The 21,512-nt window shown below is 33.8% G+C and overlaps 1 long non-coding RNA gene across 1 annotated transcript; it reads left to right on the top strand.

Annotated features, from left to right (window-relative positions):
* The first annotated feature begins 2,287 nt into the window (after positions 1-2,287).
* On the top strand, positions 2,288-20,788 carry LOC105379720 (uncharacterized). Its single transcript, XR_007060246.1, has 6 exons — positions 2,288-2,386; positions 5,453-5,639; positions 8,545-8,663; positions 8,803-8,931; positions 19,712-19,794; positions 20,704-20,788. It is a non-coding gene; the product is annotated as an uncharacterized LOC105379720 (long non-coding RNA).
* The last annotated feature ends 724 nt before the right edge of the window (positions 20,789-21,512 follow it).

Below are 21,512 nucleotides of genomic sequence, written 5' to 3'. Positions count from 1 at the left end.
AAAAAAAAGAAAGAAAGAATGCTGTTGAAGTTGCATGATTATGAATTAAAAAAAAAAACTGGTAAATGTGATTTTGTGATTTTCTTCCCGTAGGTCATAGGTAAAAACTGCAAGGCCATTGACTGCGAATCCAAATAACTCAGGGTTTCTCAGCCTTGTTAATACGTTAGACTTACTTGAGAAGCTTTTAAAAAATACCAGTGCCTGTTTTCTCCCCGTGAGGTTCTGATTCAATTGTACTAGAGTGGAAGCTGGTCATCGAAAAAAAAAAGATAATTTTTTTTTTTTTACTACCAGGAAGATCCCAATGTGAGACCAAAGTTGAGAGTCACTTTTTTTGGACTTTAAGAGTTCTTGAATTCAGAAACTGTGTCCTATTTATACTTTATTCTTAGTGCTAGGCACAAGGGAGAAAACCAATAAATGTTCGTTAAATTGAAGAACAAATGTATGAAAAGTCAGGCTTTAAGGTTTATTTTCATCTTTTAATTTCCTCCTTTTAATGATTTCCCACACCCTGTAACAAACTGAAGTCTGTAGTACATTAAATTTGAATGCGGTTATGCACTTCCCTTACAGAATGAGCAATTAATATATTCATGATTAAAAATTTGTGGCAAAAGATCTCAGAAATTGGTGCCAGAGATAATCTACTGCCTCATACATAGACATTTCAGGTAGAGTTGGTTTGTTGGACATTTCCTCTTATTCCTAAGCACACAGCTAGTTTACATTTCCTGGTTTCTCTCACTGGAAGACATGGCATGTGACGGGATTCTAGTCAATGGAATGGAAGTTGAGGTGATGTGCACCACTCTAAGCCATAAAATCAATCTCACATCCATCTTTATTTTGCCCCATCTACAGGCTCATAGCAGATGAAAAGAGTGAATGTGGAAACCACACTATAAAGATGGTGGAGCCCAAGATTTAAGGATTCTGGGTCTCTGAATCATCACTTACAGAAAAATTACTCTGAGATCAAGAACAGCTGCTTTAAACTTTATGTGAGTGAGGAGTAAACTTATACTGTGAGCTATTATATGTGGTTTTATGTTTATGCAGTGTTGAAAGTGATATTTGTTTCTATTGTTTTCGTAAAATGTCTCTCTGTAATTAAATATTTTACCCAGTTGGGCTTATTATCACTGGTAAGAGACATCATTTTAATTTCAAATATCATTTTACAGCTAGAAATAAAACAGGAAGAAACATAAATGATGTGCTCTTGGCAAAAGTTGATAGCCTAACTATCTAGTAAAAAATTCCAGATTGTGGGCCTTAGGGCAATGCTTCTCAATCCAAATGTGTGCATTTGAATAAATAGGATATTTTTGTTTAAATCATATGCTTATTTTCAATAGGACTGAAGTGAAGCCTGAGATTCTGAATTTTTAATAATTTCTCAGTGACACCCATGCTTCTGTTCTGCAAACCACATATTAGGAGCAAGGCTGTAACTAGAGCATTCTCATTCCCTTTCTGTATCTGAAATCTCTAGTCTTCTCTGTGTGTTTAACTCTTCTGGTCAAGCCTTCCCTTTTGTTGAAGATTGACTTGTGTTTCCAAAAAAGATATATTGAAGCCCTAACCCCTGGTACTGGTGAATTACACTTTATTTTAAAAGAGGGTCTTTGCAGATGCAATCAAGTTAAGATAAGATCATTGGGATGTACCCTAATATATATGACTGGTGTCCTCATAAGAAGAGGGAAATGTAAACACAGAGCTTCATGGGGATTGCACCATGTGAAAACAGAGATTCAAGAGATGCATCTATATACCAAGGCTTGTTGGCTGTCCCCAGAAGCTAGGAGCAAGGCATGGAACAGATTCTCTCTCAAAGTCATCGGAAGGAAAGCACCCAGTCAATACCTTGATTTCAGACTTCTAGCCACTAGAACTGTGAGACAGCACATATCTGTGGTTCTAAGCCATTCGGTCCATAATACTTTGATACTACTGATATATATATATATATATGCCTTTGTCGTAATGTTGACTTGCTGGGATTTTTAGCACAATACTTGTCTATGAGAGAATAAAAATAACTTAATCAATATATATGTATATTTCCTTTTCTTTGCAAATAGTGAAGGAAAAGAAGGGATTCTTAACTTGTCAGCACTCACACAAAAAGATTTTTCATCAGTTAGTCATTGCTTACCTAAGAAGTCAAGAATGTTTAACTTCTTTGTAAAAGTTAAACATCAGAGCTCTAATTTGTTTTCCTGACATAGTTTCCTTAATGCATTTTCTACCTGGTTACTTTCTCTAGATGGAGGAGAGCAATGTGATGTTGAACTGCGTCAGGGGCTCCAGAACTTCTGGTACAGTTATACTTCCGAAGAATTTGGCCCCAAACCAATTTTTCTCAGATTTCCAGGTGATAAAACTATTAGCATCATTTTTTTCATTTTTTTAGTGAGTCACAATGGATGTCAATTTTCTAACCCTTTTTATTTCTATTTTCTTCCTGCTCTTTGCTGAAATTTTTCACACAGATAATAGCTAGGCAAAGAAAGTCCAGATAATTTTCCCCCTGCCTACTGTATGTAGGACAAAAAATTGTCATATATTTCTTAGAGAAAGGGAACATTTGGTATAATTAAATAAGGAATCCAAGGTAATACAGCATTAAAAATATTTTCCCTTTTTAATCTAAATTGCTATCCTAGAAGGAAGAAGATAACATTTTCACAATGTGGATGAGTAATTGCAGTGTTGAAAGTGGTATTTGTTGCTGTTATTATTGCATTGGCAAAGTGTCTACCCATCATTGAAAATTTTATCTAATTAAACATATTAGCAGTGGTAAGAGAAATCATTTTATTTCAAGTGCCACTTTGCAACTAGGAAAAGAAAAGAGGAAAAATTACAAATGATGTGCCTATAACAAAGTATGCCAGGGGAAAACAAGAAACTGAATTCAAATCGTGGCTCCTAGGTCCTTCTGCTTTTTGATGACTATATTTTACCAAAGATTTTTACCCTGAATTTTCCTACAATAAAGAATAATGGCATAAAATTTGGCACAAGATATTGCTACTGAATTGGCTTAGTTTATGTTTTGGATAATGCGTTGCCTCTTTTCAGGATGAAAACATACTCGTTTCTCCAGGTGTTGGGAATGTTGGTCACTAAGGGCTCTCAGCTGAGACCCTGTGCTGGAATTGTGTCATCCATAACCACACCCCTTTGGGCCACACCCCTTGTCTAACGACTGGTTGATAAAGGAGTATCAGGGCCAAAGCTTTTTGACTTAGAGTGGGACAAGTCCAAAAATCCATGCCAGCTTCAGAGCTCCCCATGATATTGGCAAGGCCTTTGTTGTAACTGCATCAAAATTCAATACCTCCTGTATCCTGTGTCCTTTACTGCCTGACTGGTGTTCATCCTAGAAATGCTCCCCTCCTTTAAATCTCAGAATCTCAACCTGTTTCTCAAATAACCAAATTTGTAAGGCTTATACATTCTATATATATAAGACAAACAGTGAAGGCTACTGATTTTATTTAGTGTACACACACACACACACACACACACGTTAGATACAATAAGGACCCTCCAAAGATGTCCACATTCATATCCTCAGAATCTTTGAACACATTACTTTCCATGTCAAAAGGGACTTTGCAGATGGGTTGAAGAATTTTGAAATGGATACTGGATTACCCATGTGAGTCCAGTGTCATCACAAAGGGCCTTAAAAGTAGAGAAAGGAACAGAATAGAGTCAAGAAAATATATGTGATCGTGGAAATGAAGTCGGAGTGATGAAATGTGGGAAGAACTCAGCCCACTGTTGCTAGCTGTGAAGACAAGAGAGGGCCACAAACTGAGGAATGCAGGCAGCCTCTAGAAACTAGACAAAACAACCCAAAATCTCCCTGAGAGCCCCTAGAAAGAAAGGCAGCTCTGCTGGAACTTTGATTTTAGGATTTCTAAGCTACAGAACTGTAAGATAACAAATTTGGGTGGTTTTAAGCCACCAAATTTGCGATATATTTTCTACTGCAGGCAGCAGTAGAAAACTAATAGCATATACTTCCTCTTTATTTTTCCAAGGACATGATAGCATGATTAATCCTGATATATGGCTTTATGAGGATGATAATAATGACTCTAATATACAATAGTGAATGATGGATGTCTGCCTGACACAGTAGTTCCCAAACAAATTGTTTGTATTATTTAATTTAATCTATGTAAATGCTGTGAAGTAGTTACCATTACCTTATCTTGTGATGAGAAAATTGGGTTTAGGAAATATATAAAACTTGTCTACAGTTCACATAACTAATGCACAGCAGATTGAAACAGCCTGTCTCATTTCATGGCCTGTGCACTCTTCAATTTTTCCATCTCATACTTCATTCTCAAAGTATGGGGCCAGCCTCAGGCTAATGGCCTCCTCATTATTTAACATATGTAATCTATAAATGGGTATATATTTCAATATACATGCATTATATATTCAATATATATACATTATAGATAGCATTTAAGATTTTTTGTAAGTTTTTCTTGACAATTAATAACTTGTAATTTTCTCTCATTTGAATTTTATTTGACTTGTCCTCAAAATCTGATTTCAAGTAAATATGGTAAGGAATATAGTTTAAAGGTTTGTCACCATAATGCTACTATTAGAAAGCAAAAACCACCTCGTTACCTCAGTGACCAAGCAACAGAATAATGATTTTGTCCCTACACCAATCAAAATATTTGAAACAAGTTGTTATATCATGATTTATCATTAAGGTACTAACTTTCAACAGTCTTTCTAAAAGTTAGAGTAATGGCCCATAAGGAAAAAAATTCTAAAGAGAAGTATCCTGAAATAGGCAAGAACTTATTTAGGGCACAATTTCTCAACCTTGGCATGATTAACATTCTCAGGCTGTCCTGTGCATTATGGGGTGTTTAGAGTGTGCCAGTGGCACACTCCTCATTTGTGACAACCAAAAATTTCTCCTGGCATTGCCAAATGCCTCGTGTGTGTGTGTGTGTGTGTGTGTGTGTGTGTGTGTGTCTGTGTGTTTGATTATGGGTGGGAGGAGGGATGGTAATCATCCTGGTGTGGAAGCACTGACTCAAGGTAATGATATCTACGTATTTGCTAAACCATCTAAGCTCATTTTTCATCTTCTTCTTTGTCTTTTTTTTTTTTCTGTGTATGGGCCATTTTATATACATGTTTCCTTCATTGGATAAAGAAATTTGAATTAAAAGTACACTTTATATGCTTAAATTAAGTTCTAAATTTTAAAAATGACAAAAATATTGTACCCCATCCCAAAGTGAAATGTATGCAAAAAAATTCCACTAAATTTAGACATCCAACAGAAGAGTGATTTCTATAAATGATTTGCCTACATGACTTTCTGCATGTTAAATTCTGTAAGCTGTATATTAAAATCAGTTTCATCATTTTATGATCATTAACATAGGTAACTTACTCTGCATGGGGTCCTGAACTTGCTGTGAATTAACCCTTCACTCACTGCCTGCCGCATTTTGGTGATCACATTTTGTTCTCTGCCACTTCCTGCTTGAGAGTATGATCTACAGCCAGCTAGACCATATCTGGATGAAGCTTGAGATATAACCACAGGTTCAGAACACCCTGTTATAAAGGTAACATTATTAGGGGGTCTCGGGTCATGGTCACTGTAGTTCTTTGGATCTTGGTCTAAATCGTAGCATTGTCATTTTGTCATTTACTAGCTATGTGTCCATAGGTCAGTTACCCAAACTCTCTGAGCCTTCTTTTTTCATACATCAAATTGGAGCAATGTCTATCTTACAGAATTGTTGAGTATTAAATTACATCAAATTCTTTCACAGTGTCCAGCACAGAACAGGTACTTAATAAAGGTTATTTTTATTATGACAACATAGTTTAATGGTTAATTCCACAAATGTTTTGTGACTCCCTACTGTACCAAAAATTGTTTGCTCAAGTTTCTTAATCATCACGTAAAAATATAACTGAAATTGGTCTTCAAGATTAGGGAACCCCAGTTCAGGCCAATACCTATTGCTGTGTCCACAATTAATACTTAATGTTAATTAAATACATTAATTCGTTAACAAATGGCTTTGGTAATTTTTATTCTTATTTTTAAATGTATTTTTATATTGATTGGAAGCCATATGAAAACACCTTGTACCAGCCAAAAAACACTTGAACCACACACAGAGTATTTGATGAAATCAGCATTTTCTCTACAGCCCCTGAAAAGATGTGATTGGGGTGGACTTCATTGCAAAAGGAGAAAAAGCTTTACAAGATTTGAGGGTGTGATTAAAATATGTATGTTTGTCGTTAGGTTATTTGAGTAGAACAACTTATACATATTCAATGTTTCATTAGAAAGCACATTCTTGCTCAGAGACATAACATATATTTACAATGAAATGATTCTATGTAGTTTCTCTTACAAATTTTGCCAGCACCACATGGAAGAACACCAAAGGATTTACTATTTTTATAAATCCATTCACCTAACTTTCAAAGACATTTTTCTAAACACCAATTAAAATTGTTTTTATTAATTTTATTTCTTCTTGAAATGCTTATAAAGTCATCAAAGGAACAGTCGTCAAAATTTAAGGCAAATATGAAGTACAGCTATAAAAGCTCAATATATCAAATACTAAGAAAACATTTTTTTAAATCAAAATATTTGAAGAAATAAAAGGAAAGGCTTAGGAGCTATTTTGTGAAATCTAATGGAAATGGATAAATATATTTGAGTATAAATATTTTAACAGATTCATTTATTTCATTTACAAAGAGAGAAACTAGTAAAAATCAAACATACATGAGGAAGAAAAAATAGGAAATGTTTGCATTGATTTTTTTTTTTGTCTTATGATGGTTAAATTCTATATTCTCAGCAGAGAACAGGGCCATCATTATCTTTGAACATGTCTAAAATAATTCTTTAGGTCTTTGAGAGGATTATAAAACCAATTTTGAGATCTTAAACCATTAAGGTTAATATGAAATTATTCACAAAGTATTAAGATTGCCAAAGGAGCTTTCAAAATAGGTTAGTAGAAAACTCTCATTTTATATAAAAGGAAATTGAGGTCCGAGGAGATGTGCTATAATCCAGTTTATGAGTCAGCCAAAATTAGAAGACTCAATATTTAGTTGTCTAACCTTGATTTTTGACCCTGTAGGTGTATCCAATGTTATTACCACCTCACTTAATAGGCTTAGTGGAAAATGACTTTTGACTGTTTTCTAAGATCAAGTCCATATTTAAAAAGAATTTGCTCCTAAAGTTTTTCCAAGAATATGCCCCAAAACTTTGAAAGTAAATAACAGTGACAAAATATTGCCCTGTCAAGTTAGTATTGTCTAGATAGCACTACCTAATAAAAGCATTTTCTGACAGATACATGGAAAAACTAAAAAGAAACAGGTAAATAAATGTTAATAATTTATTTTATTTAACTCATCAAAAATTTAATAATTTCAACATGTAAAAAGTGTTTAAAATTCTTAGCTTATATTTCATATTCTTAGTTTCTTACTTAGTCTTCAAAATCTAGCATGAATTTTATACTTACAGCACATCTCAGTTTGAACTAGACACATTTCAAGAGCTCGCTAGCCAATTGGGGCTTGTGGCCACCATATTGGACAGGGCATATCTAGAGTGACAATCATTATTCAAATTCTGCATTAAAATTAAATTTCTTGAGTTTAATTACAAACATGGACAATTGTTGAATAAATATTCAGTTGGTAATTTTAGATGCCTAAAATATTGGAAACTTACTTTGTTCTTATTTTCTGAATTTCATATTACATGTCTATTGGATTTCCCATGTCGATGTTTTTCCTTTTATTTATTTCCTCACCTTTTTCTGCTCTACTCTGGCAGATTTCCTCCAAAAGCTCTTCTAATTCATTGGTTAATTTTCCATTGTATCTTATCATATCTTAAAGTTTCCTATTTTACATTTAAATTTGATAATTTGGTTTTTCAATTGAGGCACTATTTGTTGATCCCAGAGTATTCTCCTTGATAGATTTCATTTCCCCTTGAATCTGATATTATGGATTATATATTATTAATTTTCTCCCTTTGGATTTATTTCATTTGATCCTCAGAATAAGTTTTCCTTCTTTGTATTTGTATTATTTAACCATTACATGGTTAAATATTATACTTATTATATCATATGTAATATATATTTATATATTATATTATGCAATATATTATATTAATATTATATTGGTAATGTATATCAAAATGCTGTGGCAAAAATGTGGAATGCATGTATAGGTTAGTTAACATTAGTCCACATCCCAGGCACAGGTAGTCAGCCACTGAAGCAACTAAGTTCCTTAATCAGCAAAGGTTTTCAAATAACATTATTTAAATATACACCAGAGGGATCATTAACATAAGAATCGTTGGAATTTATTTGGTGAATTTTTGAAGCACTTAAGATATATAAAATGATTGCACGGTCAACACATCTCTGGCATGAACAATATGCAAATAACCAGTATTCACAGGAGCTGAACATCCTTGGAGCAACACATGACATCTAGAACTCTACATGGTCCAAGGTCTGTCTCACAAGGAGGACTGTGTAATTAAAGCTAACTACAAACTAAGCTGATTCTACTGTCAGGTATGTTTGCATTTACCTTTGAGTGATTTAGCAGTCAAGGTCCTAGTTAGTCTGCATTCATCCCCAAATTTGCAAGAGCATGTTGTATGATTGTTTTTATTGTTGTCTTCTTATTAATAAATGTTGCTTCATTTGGCAGATTTGGTCCAAACCTACTTTTCTTTTAACAACCTGGTAACCAAGTGCCATACAAGATACACTGAACTCAAATCTACAGAGACTATCAATCCTTGAACAGCAAGTTCAGAGCAGTTGAATATGACAATAGGTTCAGTCTTTTTTCCTACTTTCTTTTCATAATTAATTGACAAATAATTGTATATGTTTACAGAGTATAATGTGATGTTTAGATATATGTATACATTATAGAAACGTTAAATTAAGCAAATTAACATATCCATTATCTCACCACCTTATCAATTTTTTATAGTGACAATGTTTAAAATCTATTCTGTTAGCAACTTTGGAATATATAATGCATTATTAACTATGTTCACCATTCTGCATAATATATCACTAAAACTTACTCCTCCTAACTAAAAATGTGTACCCTTTGACCAATTTCACACCTTTCCTCATGCCCCAGGCCTCAGGTAATCATCATTCTACTCCCTGTTTCTATGAGATAGACTTTTATAGATTCCAAATATAAGTGAAATTATGTAGTATATGTCTTTCTGAGCCTGGCTTATTTTACTTAGAATAATGTCCTCCAGGTTCATCCACGTTGTCTCAAATGACAGACTTTTCCTCTTTTTAAAGATTATATAGTACTCCTTATATATATATAGGAATATATATAATGATATATATATAATGATATATATATAGATATATATCACATTTTCTTTATTCATTTATGGACAGAAACTTAGGTTACTTCCGTATCTTGGCTCCTGTGGATGATGCTGAAATAAACATGAGAGCTTAGATATCTCTTCAACATAGTGATTTGAATTTCTTTGGATATATACCTAGAAATGAAATTTCAAGATTATGTGGTAATTCTATCTTTTTAGTCTTTTGAGGAGCCTCTATACTGTTTTCCATAATGGCTGTATTAACTTTCCCATAAACAGTTTACCAGGGTTCCTTTTTCTTGACATGCTAGCCAATACTTGTCATCTTTCATTTTTTTTAATTATAGCCATTCTAACAGACATGAGGGGATATCTCACTTGGATTTTACTTTGCATTTCCATGTTGATTAAAGATTTTGAGCATTTTTTCATATATCTGCTGGTCATTCCTACGTCTTCTTTTGAAAAATGTCTGTTCAGGTCTTTTCCCCATTTTTAAATTAGATTCAAGAAATCATAATCCTATGACCTATTCAAGAAATCATAATCCAGACCAATGTCATGTAGCTTTCTTCTTATATTTTTTCTAGTACTTTTATAGTTTCAGGCCATATGTTTACGTTATTAATTCATTTTGAGTTAATTTTTGCATGTGGTGTGTGAGTTCCAATTTCATTCTTCTGCATGTGAATATCCAGTTTTCCCAAGCACATTTATTGAAGAAATTATCCTTTCATTGTGTTTTCTTGGCTCCTTTTGCTTTTTTTTTTTTTTTTTTTTTGAGACGGAGTTTCCCTCTTGTCATCCAGGTTGGAGTGCAACGGCGCAATCTTGGCTCACCACAAACTCCGCTTCCCGGATTCAAGCAATTCTCCTCCCTCAGCCTCCAGAGTAGCTGGGATTACAGGCATGTGCCGCCACGCCCAGCTGATTTTTTGTATTTTTAGTAGAGACGGGGTTTCTCCATGTTGGTCAGGCTGGTTTCGAACTTCCTTTTGTTCTTCTAATAATCTCTCTGAAAATTATCACATGATCTCACTGAATGCCTACTGTACAGTATTTTTTCAAAGAATATTTTAGGTGTGCATTATAATAATACGAGAACTGCTCAATTACATAATCACCAAAAGATTTGACAGAGAAAGAAAACTGAATTTATCACCTCATGTCTATGATTTTATTTTTAAAGTCTTAAAGTGTGTATTCCATATGCATGAAAAATAACCTGACACATTTTTATTTATTCAATACAGAATGTTCTATTTTTAAGTCTGTACATTCTGATAAAATTTGTTTTCCTTTGTGATGATCTTATAATAAGGAGGCTACATAATCGTAGGAGTAATAGATTGAAAATAACTGGGAGTCTCTGAAAAGATGTTAAATATCCTGGAACCCTAAATGACTCCAAAAATGATACTTCATATTCCAAATGAAATAAAAACAAGATATGGTGCTAATTTTTTACTCAAAATATTTGAAGCACTGTCTTTGATAGAAAGAATTGTTGGAAAGCCATTTTTTAGATTGTAGAAACAGGAGCAAAAGTCTGTAGTTCAGGTAGAATGAATATGGATGTCAAAAAGTCATCCATCAGGAGGAAAATTCTGAATCCTGATAGTTCTCATTTCCAATTATAGTAACAGATGCAGTATTTTAAAAAACGCTGCAGTAAAATCCAAGCTCTGTCCTCATCTGACAGTTTTTCATCTGCTGTTTTTTATTTAGCAAATTAGTCTTTATAGTATATATACATATATATGTATATATATACATATATATGTATAAATATATATACATATATATGTATAAATATATAATTACATATATACATATATATGTATAAATATATATACATATATATGTATAAATATATACATATATACGTATATATGTATAAATATATACGTATATATGTATAAATATTTATACATATATATGTATAAATATATATACATATATACATATACATAAATATATATACATATATGGTATTATATATTTATACATCTATATGGTATAATATATATGGTGTAAAATTCTTGCATTTATGTCATAAGAGTTTTTCCTCATCTGTAGTATAACATATTTTTATATGTGATCAGCTACTTTCTGCTTGAATCTTTTTCATGCGACAAAGCATTACATTTAAAATAAAACTTCTCACTGTTACTTTTCAAATGTCAACTTCAGAACAAGCCTGAAATATTACTACAATTGGTAAAACTACCTAAAGGGTGATGAATCTTTATTAGATATAAAAATAATGCAGAAATAGGTCAACCAGTCTCATGAATATTGCAAACTAAAGGAACATTCATTAGGATAAAACTCAGCAGAAGATAGGGAGACATTCTGCCTTTAAGCTAAGTATGTGATTATTGTGGCACTACAGATTTATAAAGCATATGCCATCATTTCATTTGCAGTTGTATATGTCAATGTATTCAAACTCAATGACCAAGACATTTTATTGAAATGTTTTCTACCTTTGATTTTAGATCAGATGCACAAATGTAAAAGAAAAAAATTACGTAAGAATTTACTTTTTAATAAACAAGCTTATACAAGTGAAAAGAAAGTTTAATTATGCTTTCCTTGTATCCTTCCTCACCCACAGATATGCAGTGTTAATACAATGAGACTTACTACATAAAACTATAGCATAGTGACACCAGGAAATCATTAATTAGTTAAGTCTTAACTAGTTAATTAATTAGTTAAGTCTTAACTTGTTAATTAATTAGTTAAGTCTTCTAATTAACTAAACATATTAATTTTTTAATATTTCATTTTTCTCACTATGACAACAAAGCAATAAAATATGTGATACATACAATTTTAATTTCAAGGTTTGAAAGCAAAGTATTAGCATGGAATTAACCAACAACATTAAACTAAGCACTTCACTCAATTGAAGTTTAAAATGGTGTTGGACTTTGAGTCTAATTTATTGTCATTTAGGCTTATTTTGTTAAATTATATGAAGATAACCATGTTAATGCGAATAAATTTCCAACCAAAATTTTGTTTAAAAAAAAGAAACATATTGGCTCATAGCTGATGAGCACAATAAAATATTTTTTCTCTTAACCTTTTCTATTTTATCTAGCCTGATTATCTATTTGAGGTGCAGCTCTTGAAAAGCTATCCAATAATAAGTAGAATGTCCCTTTTGAAAAGGCACAGTCTTTAGGATTTAGGAATGTGGTCCTGAGGATTAGAGAGAATTTACTTAGAGAGGAAATTATATAGTGATTAAAGCACAGAGCTTTAACAAATTATATCAGGGATTTTACAGAAGGATTCTATTTCATTCCTTAAATACTACATAGTTAAAGCTTAGAGTATGATGTTACCAAAGAGATTATACTATTAAAAATAATGGTGAAACTCAGTTAATAGTATGAGAGGATTACACTGATATTGTCAAGGGTGGCCAGATTGTTCAATATTATTAAAGCCAATGGTAAATGAAATTAAAAAAAAGCAAAAGGAGTAATCTTATCTACCATAACTGGAAAATATTTTATTTTCAATACCCAAGTTATGGAATTTAGACACATGCGCACGTGTGCATACACATGCATAAATACATACTGGTTGACTATCCCCATCCAAAAGGCTTGGGACCAGAAATGTTTCAGATTTCAGATTTTTTTTTGTATTTTGGACTATTTACATATAGGTAATGAGACATCTTCGGGATGGGGCCCAAGTCTAAACATAAAATTCGAGTTTCAGACACACATTATACACGTAGCTTCAGGGTAATTCTATAGAATGTTGTTAATAATATTGTGCACCCATCACGTGAGGTCAAGTACAGAATTTTCCACTTGTAATGTTAGTTTGGTGCTCAAAAAGTTTCAGATTTTGGAGCATTTCATATTTTGAGTTTACATGTTAGGGCTGCGCAACTTTTATGTTATTTTAATAACTCATTCACAGAGACTAGTTATTAATAAATGATGCCTACAAATTGGCACTAGTTCTAGCATTAGTAACTCATGAACTTGCGACTTTTTATTTTGATGCAGAGAGTAATATTTCCCAGGAGAAAAAATGTGTAAATTAAAGTTCTTTCCAGTTCAAAAATTTTATAAACCAATAAACTGGAATTTGGATGCGTTAGTAATCCAGATTGAAGATAAACCCAAACCTTCTTAACAAGTATTTTAATCTAGGAACCAACCTAAACAAATTTTTACCTTTATATCCAAGACCTTACAACAGAGTATTTATAAAAAATAAACAATGTACAATGAAAGCACTTAAAAGTTAGCTTACAAGGAGCACAAAATTGTGTTCTGCTTATTGGAGTAGCTTTTTTAAAATTGTCGTGTAACACATGAAAGCATTCTTTTGTTATAAATTTTTTTTTTTTTTTTTTTTTTTTTGAGACGCAGTCTCACTCTGTCGCCCAGGCTGGAGTGCAGTGGCGCGATCTCGGCTCATTGCAAGCTCCGCCTTCCGGGTTCACGCCATTCTCCTGCCTCAGCCTCCCAAGTAGCTGGGACTACAGGCTCCCGCCAACACGCCCGGCTGATTTTTTTGTATTTTTAGTAGAGACGGGGTTTCACCGCATTAGCCAGGATGGTCTCGATCTCCTGACCTCGTGATCCACCCGCCTTGGCCTCCCAAAGTGCTGGGATTACAAGCGTGAGCCCCTGCGCCCGGCCGTAAATTTTTTAAATAATAAAAAAAGTTTGATATTCTATAGGGAACACACTCAACTGAACCTGTTCATATCCTCCTCTCTTATTGTCTCCATTGAAAAATCATCTCTATAATTGCAAGGCTACTCATTCACAAGATATAAATATGATATATAATATATTTTTATTTATTACCCATATGTAACTTAGAAAAAAGAGATTTTTGGCTCTTTGAAGTAGTAGAACATTTTTTAAAATAATGGGAATTTCCATACATGCCAGCAACTTAACTCAGCTTTTTCGTACATGCCTATAACTAGGAGAGTTTAGGACAAGAATGTGGGTAAGTAGGCTACTTATTTTCATTTCCATGAAGATTGATTAAAGAGCATGAGTTGAGTCATACTTATAAGTAATGATTTTTTAAATTTTCCTTTTCTTCTATTTTCCTTGGTAGTAGGTGCTTAACGATATTTATTTACATTAAAAAAAATGTAGCTACGATTCTTGTTTCTCATTAACCAAGAGAACCAACACAACTTTTCAAAATTAAGCTGGCCGTTCAAATACAAGGAAGCTAAACAACATACTTCCGAATGACCAATAGGTCAACTAAGAAATTAAGAAGAAAACTTTAACATTTCTTGAAACAAATGAAAATGGCAACCCAACATACAGAATATGTGGGATCCAGCAAAAGCTGTACTAAAAGGGAAGTTTTATAGCAATAACTGTCTACATCCAAAAACAGAAAAACTTAAATAACCTAATGATGAACCTCAAGGAACTAGAAAAACAAGAAAAACCCAAATAACTAGAAAGAAATGATAAATATCAAAACAGAAATAACTGGAAATGAGAGGAAAAACTACAAAAGATCAACAAAACAAAAAGTTGAATTTTTTGAAAAGGTAAATAGAAATGACAAATCTTTAGCTACACTAAGAAAAAAACACAAACAAAATCAGAGGTGAAAAAGGAATCATTACAACTGATACCACGGAAATACAAAGAATCATTAGTAACTGCTATGAAAAACTACATGCCAACAAATTGGAAAACATGTAAGAAATGGATAACGATTGGATACATAAAACCTGCCAAAACTGAACCATGAAGAAATTAAAAAACTCGAAGTGACCAATGGTAACTAAAGAAATCAAAGCAGTAAAAATAATAATAATAATATCCTATCACAGAAAAGCCCAGGACCTGACTGATTGACTGCTGAATTCTACTAAACATTTAAAGAACTAATACCAATTTTACTCAAACTATTTGAAAAAATTGAAAAGAAGGGAATATTTCCAAACAAATTATTTGAAGCCAGCATTACCCCAATACCAAAACCAAATAAGGACGCAAAAACAAAAGAAAAATAGCTATAGGCCAATATCCGTGATAAACACAGATGTAAAAATCCTCAACAAAATACTTGCAAACTGAATTCAGCAACACAATAAACAGATCATTCACCATGATCAAGTGGAACTAATCCCAGAGATGCAAAGATGTTTCCACATATGCAAATCAATAAATATGACATATCACATCAACAGAATCAAGGACAAAAATGTGATCATTTTAATCAGTGATGAAACAGTGTGCAATTAAATTCAACATCCCTTTGTAATAAGAACTCTTAACAAATTGGGTACAGAAGGAATATATCTCAACATGATAAAGGCCATATATGACAAACTCACAGCTGTTATTCTGAATGGTAAAATAATGAAAACTTTTCCACTAAAATCTTGAACAAAACAAGTATTCACACTTTCGGCTGGGTGCGGTAGCTCATGCCTGTAATCCCAGCACTTTGGGAAGCCAAGGCAGGCAGATTACCTGAGGTTGGGAGTACAAGACCACCCTGACCAACATGGAGAAACCCATCTCTACTAAAAGTACAAAATTAGCCCAGTGTGGTGGCACATGCCTGTAATCACAGCTACTCCGGAGGCTGAGGCAGGAGAACTGCTTGAACCTGGGAAGTGGAGGTTACGGTGAGCCAAGGTGGCACCATTGCACTCCAGCCTGAGCAACAACAGTGAAACTTCATCTTGGAAAAAAAAAAAAAAACCAGTATGCACACTTTCACCACTTCTATTCAACATACCACTGGAAGCTCTTTCCATAGCAATCACAAAAGAGAAATAAATGGAGATCAAAATTGGAAAGGATGAGAATAAATGAAACTTGTTTGTAGACAACATGATCTTATGTTTATGAAAACCTAAAGACTGAAGCAAAAAACTCTTAGAACTGATAAAAGAATTCAGTAAAGTTGCAGGACGCAAAATCAACATACAAGAAAAATCAGTAGGATTTTTATATGCTAACAGTGATCAGCCTAAGAAAGAAATCAAGAAAGCAATATTGTTTATAATAGCTACAAAAAACACCCAGGAATAAATTTAACAAAAGAAGTGAAAGATCTCTACAAGGAGGATTATAAAACACTAACAAAATAAATTGACGAGAACCTCCCCCAAATGGAAAGATATCTCATGCTTATGAATTGAAAGAATTAATATTGTTAAAATGTCTATATTAGGTAAAGAAGCTTCAATGCAATACCCATCAATACCAGTGTCATTCTTGACAGAAATGGAAAAAAAATCCTAAAATTCATATATAAGCAGGAAAGACCCCAAATAGCTAAAAACACCCAAAGCAAAAAGAGCAAAGCTGGAGGCATCACACTACCCGATTTGAAATTATACTACAAAGCTATAGTAACCAAAACAACATGATACTAGCATAAGAACAGACACACAGAGAAATGGAATGGAGCCCAGAACCCAGAAATAAATCCATACACTTACAGCCACCTCATTTTTGACAAGGCACCAAGAACTAGAAAGTCTCTCTCTCTCTCTTTTTTTTTTTTTTTTTTTTTTTTTTGAGACAGAGTTTCACTCTTGTCACCCAGGCTGGAGTGCAATGACACGATCTCTGCTAACTGCAACCTCTGCCTCCCAGGTTCAAGTGATTCTCCTGCCTCAGCCTCCTGAGTAGCTGGGATTACTGTCACCATGCCTAACAAATTTTTGTATTTTTAGTAGAGACGAGATTTCACCATGTTGTCCAGGATGGTCTCGAACTCCTGACCTCAGGTGATCTGCCCGCCTTGGCTTTCCAAAGTGCTGAGATTACAGGCATGAGCCACCACGCCCAGCCAGGAAGTCTCTTTAATAAATACTGCTTGGAAAACTGTGTATCCCTATGCAGAAGAATAAAATTATATCTCCATCTTTCAACATATATAAAAATCAACTCAAAATGGATTAGAGACTTAAATATAAGACTGGAAACTATAAAACTAGTCAATAAAAACATTGAAGAAATGCTACAGAACATTGATCTGGCCAAAGGTTTTTTTGGTAAGACTTCAAAAGCACAGGCACCCAAAGCAAAAATTTAAAAATGGTATTACCTCAAGCTAAAAAGCTTCTGCTCACAAAGGAAACAATCAACAAAGTGAAGAGAGAAGCCACAGAATGGGAAAAAACATTTGCAAAGTATTCATCTAATGAGGTATTAATACCCAGAGAATAAATAAGGAATTCAAACAACCCAATAGCAAAATATTAATAATAATATGATCAAAAAGTGGGGAAAAGATCAGAATTGACTTTTCTCAAAAGAAGACATACAAATGGCCAACAAATACAGAAAAAAAAGACTCAACATCACTAATCATCAGGGAAATGCAAATAAAAACCACAGTGGGATATCATTGTACTTCAGTTAGAATGGCATTATAAAAAGATTAAAAAATAACAAATGGTGACAAGGATGAGGAGGAAAGGGAACACTCTTACAACTACTGGTGGCAATTTAAAGTAGTACAGCCATTATGGAAAACAGTATGGAAGTTCCTCAAAAAACTAAAAATTGGGCTACCTTATGACCCAGCAATCACACCACATATGTCCAAAAGAGAGGAAATTGGTATATTGAAGAGATATCTGCACTCACATACATATCACAGCGCTATTCACAATAGTGGATACATAGAATCAACTAAGTGTCCACTAACAAATGAATAGATAAATGTGGTATATATATATATATATACACAGCTGAATTTATATATATATATATATACACACACAGAACTGTATGTATATATAGAACTGTATATATGTAATTTGTAGCAACATGAACACAACTGGAGGTCATAATAGTAAGTAAAATCAACCAGTTACAGAAAGACAAACACTGAATATTCTTTCTCATATGTGGAAGCTAAAAAGTGGATTTTTTTTTTTTTTTGAGACGAAGTTTTGCTTTTGTCATCCAGGCTGGAGTGCAATGGCACAATCTCGGCTCACTGCAACCTCCGCCTCCCAGGTTCAAGTGATTCTCCTGCCTCAGCCTCCCAAGTAGCTGGGATTACAGGCACGCACCACCATGCCAGGCTCATTTTTGTATTTTTAGTAGAGATGAGGTTTCACCATGTTGGCCAGGCTGGCCTCGAACTCCTAACCTCAGGTGATCCACTTGCCTCCACCTCCCAAAGTGCTGGGATTACAGGCATGAGCCCCAATGCCTGGCCTAAAAAGCAGATCTTATGAAGGTAGAGAATAGAATAGGGGTGATATGGTTTGAATTTGTGTCCCCGCCCAAATCTCATGTCGAATTGCAATCCCCAATATTGGAGGAGGGGCCTGGTGGGAGGTGATTGGATCATGGGGCTGGATTTCCCCCTTGCTGTTCTTGTGATACTGAGTTCTCAGGATATCTGGTTGTTTTCAAAGTGTGTAGCACTTCCCTCTTTACTCTCTCTTCCTCCTGCTCCAGCCATGTAGGATGTGCCTGCTTCCCCTCTGCCATGATTTTAAGTTTCCTGAGGCTCCCCCAGTCATCTTTCCTGTACAGCCTATGGAACCATGAGCCAGTTAAACCTCTTTTCTTTATAAAATGCCAAGTCTCAGGTATTTCTTTATAGCAGTATGAGAACAGACTAATACAGAAGGTAACAAGAGGCTGGGAAGAGGGGACAAAGAGGGGTTTGTTAAGGGGCACAAAAATACAGTTAGATACGAGGAATAAGTTCTAGTAATCAATAGTAAAATATGGATATCGTAGTTATCAGTAATTTATCATGTATCTTAAAATAGCTAGAAGATTCGTAATGTTCCCAACACAAATGAAGGATAAATGAGGTGAAGGATATCCCAATTACCCTGATTGGATTATTACACATTATATACATGTGTCAAAATATCATATGTGTCTCCAAAATGTGTACAGATTTTATATGTATTATATATAATACATATATATGTATTTATACATACACATGCATATATATGTACATATATATATGCATGTGTAAATATTCTACTCTTCCTGAAAAGAAAGAGCTGGAGGAATCCTGTTTCACCCAAGATCATAGTGATGACAGCTTCCTAAGAGCAGAGGACATTACTGACATCAGCTTGGTTTGTGTTTGAGAATATTCTATGTATTGCTTATAACACTTCAAATCCAATAGAAACAACTCTTCTCAGAGGTGTAAAAATTTAGTTAACCATGGTGAACTACATCTGACTCCATTATTATAATTCATGCCTGTCTTCAGCTTTAATGCTATCAATGAGAACAAGAATATTTGGCTTATCTTCAACATCTTCATACCATCAGATAACTCCAAAGTTAACACAGGTAACTCTACTTCTCCTCTTAAACCTAACTGAATCATCCATTGGACGTTTGTACATTTAACCAATATCAACTGTATATTCCATAAGACCAACACTCTACCAAACTGAAAGACCCAAAAGTAAACACATTAATTCCTATGTACCCCTTCTCTATCTCACACCTAATATTCTGTTAATATACTTTTTCTTATTGTTCATAAAATATCTGTTAAAGAAGTGTTAATTGTCTGTCTAATAATCATTTATCCTTCTTGTTTAGTAAGCCAATTCCAAATAGTCCATTTAGAGTGGCAAAATATTCAGAAAAAATTAAATATTTCCCAGCCAACATTGCTGCTAGGTGTGACCATGTTGCTAAGTTCTGGCAAACAGGTTAGGTGGGAATTCAGTGAACCTTAGGAAAAAGAGAGAAAAGACTGGGCTTTTTTACTTCTGGCTCCCTGCCTTGTATATGGAAATAAAAGTTGAGCTGCAGCAACTATCTTGGACAATAAAAATTGTCCAAGAAAAAAACATATGGTGGAGCTAAGTGATCGAAGGAGCTTTTGTCTCTGTTGACATTGTGTTGCTATTATCTAGGTCTAGAATACTTACCTTTATACTTGGATCATCAGAGAGAGAAATCAACTACTACTTATTTTCGCCACTGTTATTTCTGGTGTCTGTTACTAGCAATAGAAGAGAATTCCTCACATAAGCCAAGTCCTCAAGAGTTTAGACTCTCTCTCTCCTATATAACCAACCCCCATAGCCAATTAATCTCTAAGTCTTGTCAGTTTAATTTCTTAAATTGATTTCAAGTTTTATCTTTTCTCTCCACCCCCATTTTCATTACTTTAGTTCAAACACTCATCACCTGTCACCATACCATTACAGTGGATCTAATTCTGCTCCCATCTTGCTTCCCTAGGATACGTCATCCACATTGCTGCCAGAGCATTCTCTCTGAAATGATTATCTGATCATCATCCTCTCTTCTTCTCCACAAGCTCAAACACTTTCAGTGACTGATTTGAAACCAGGTATATTTTTTAGCGTGGCAAAAATATGAATCTTGGGTATTAGCCTTCTATCTGGCCTTATGATATAGAAATATCAAAACACTGGTAAGTATCTAAATACACCTTCTATGCCTTGTCAATGCCTCTTATTTTCTGGAGTGCCTCATTTCAGATTGTTGGCTGTAAAACTCTTAATCACCATAAGACTCTTAAGTTTCTCTTTGAAGATTTTATGACTCTCTGACTTTTGAAACAATCTTCACTCTGTAACATTCATTATATGCAATTCTTTGTTGTATATTATACTGTAATATTATTATTTATATGCATCTCTATTTCCTTTACAAGACTATAGGCAATCTGAAGTTAGACAGAATATATTATTCATTTTTATACCTCAAATTCCTGTCTCGGTGCCTGAGGAATATACAGGGCACTTGGGAAGTATTTGAGGAATTTGGATTGTAGCGTGGCTTCTCTCTGGGATACTGTTAGTCAACCAACCCTTGAGGGATGGTGACATCATGGATCATTCTAATTAAAGCCAAAATCATTCAGGATTATAATCATCTATGTTAAATGACCTTTTGAAATTACCTTCTGCTAAGAGCTACTGCCATGGTTGGGCTGATCAGAGAGGGCAATGGTCTTGGAAGATTCAAAGATAAGCAAAACAAATGGTGGTAGAATAATGTAAAGACGATTTTGGTCATGTGAG

This window comes from Homo sapiens, chromosome 7 (assembly GCF_000001405.40).
Source record: "Homo sapiens chromosome 7, GRCh38.p14 Primary Assembly".
Lineage (NCBI taxonomy): Eukaryota > Metazoa > Chordata > Mammalia > Primates > Hominidae > Homo > Homo sapiens.
Note: the sequence above shows the minus strand (reverse complement) of the source record. Positions and strands in the feature narration are given on the sequence as shown.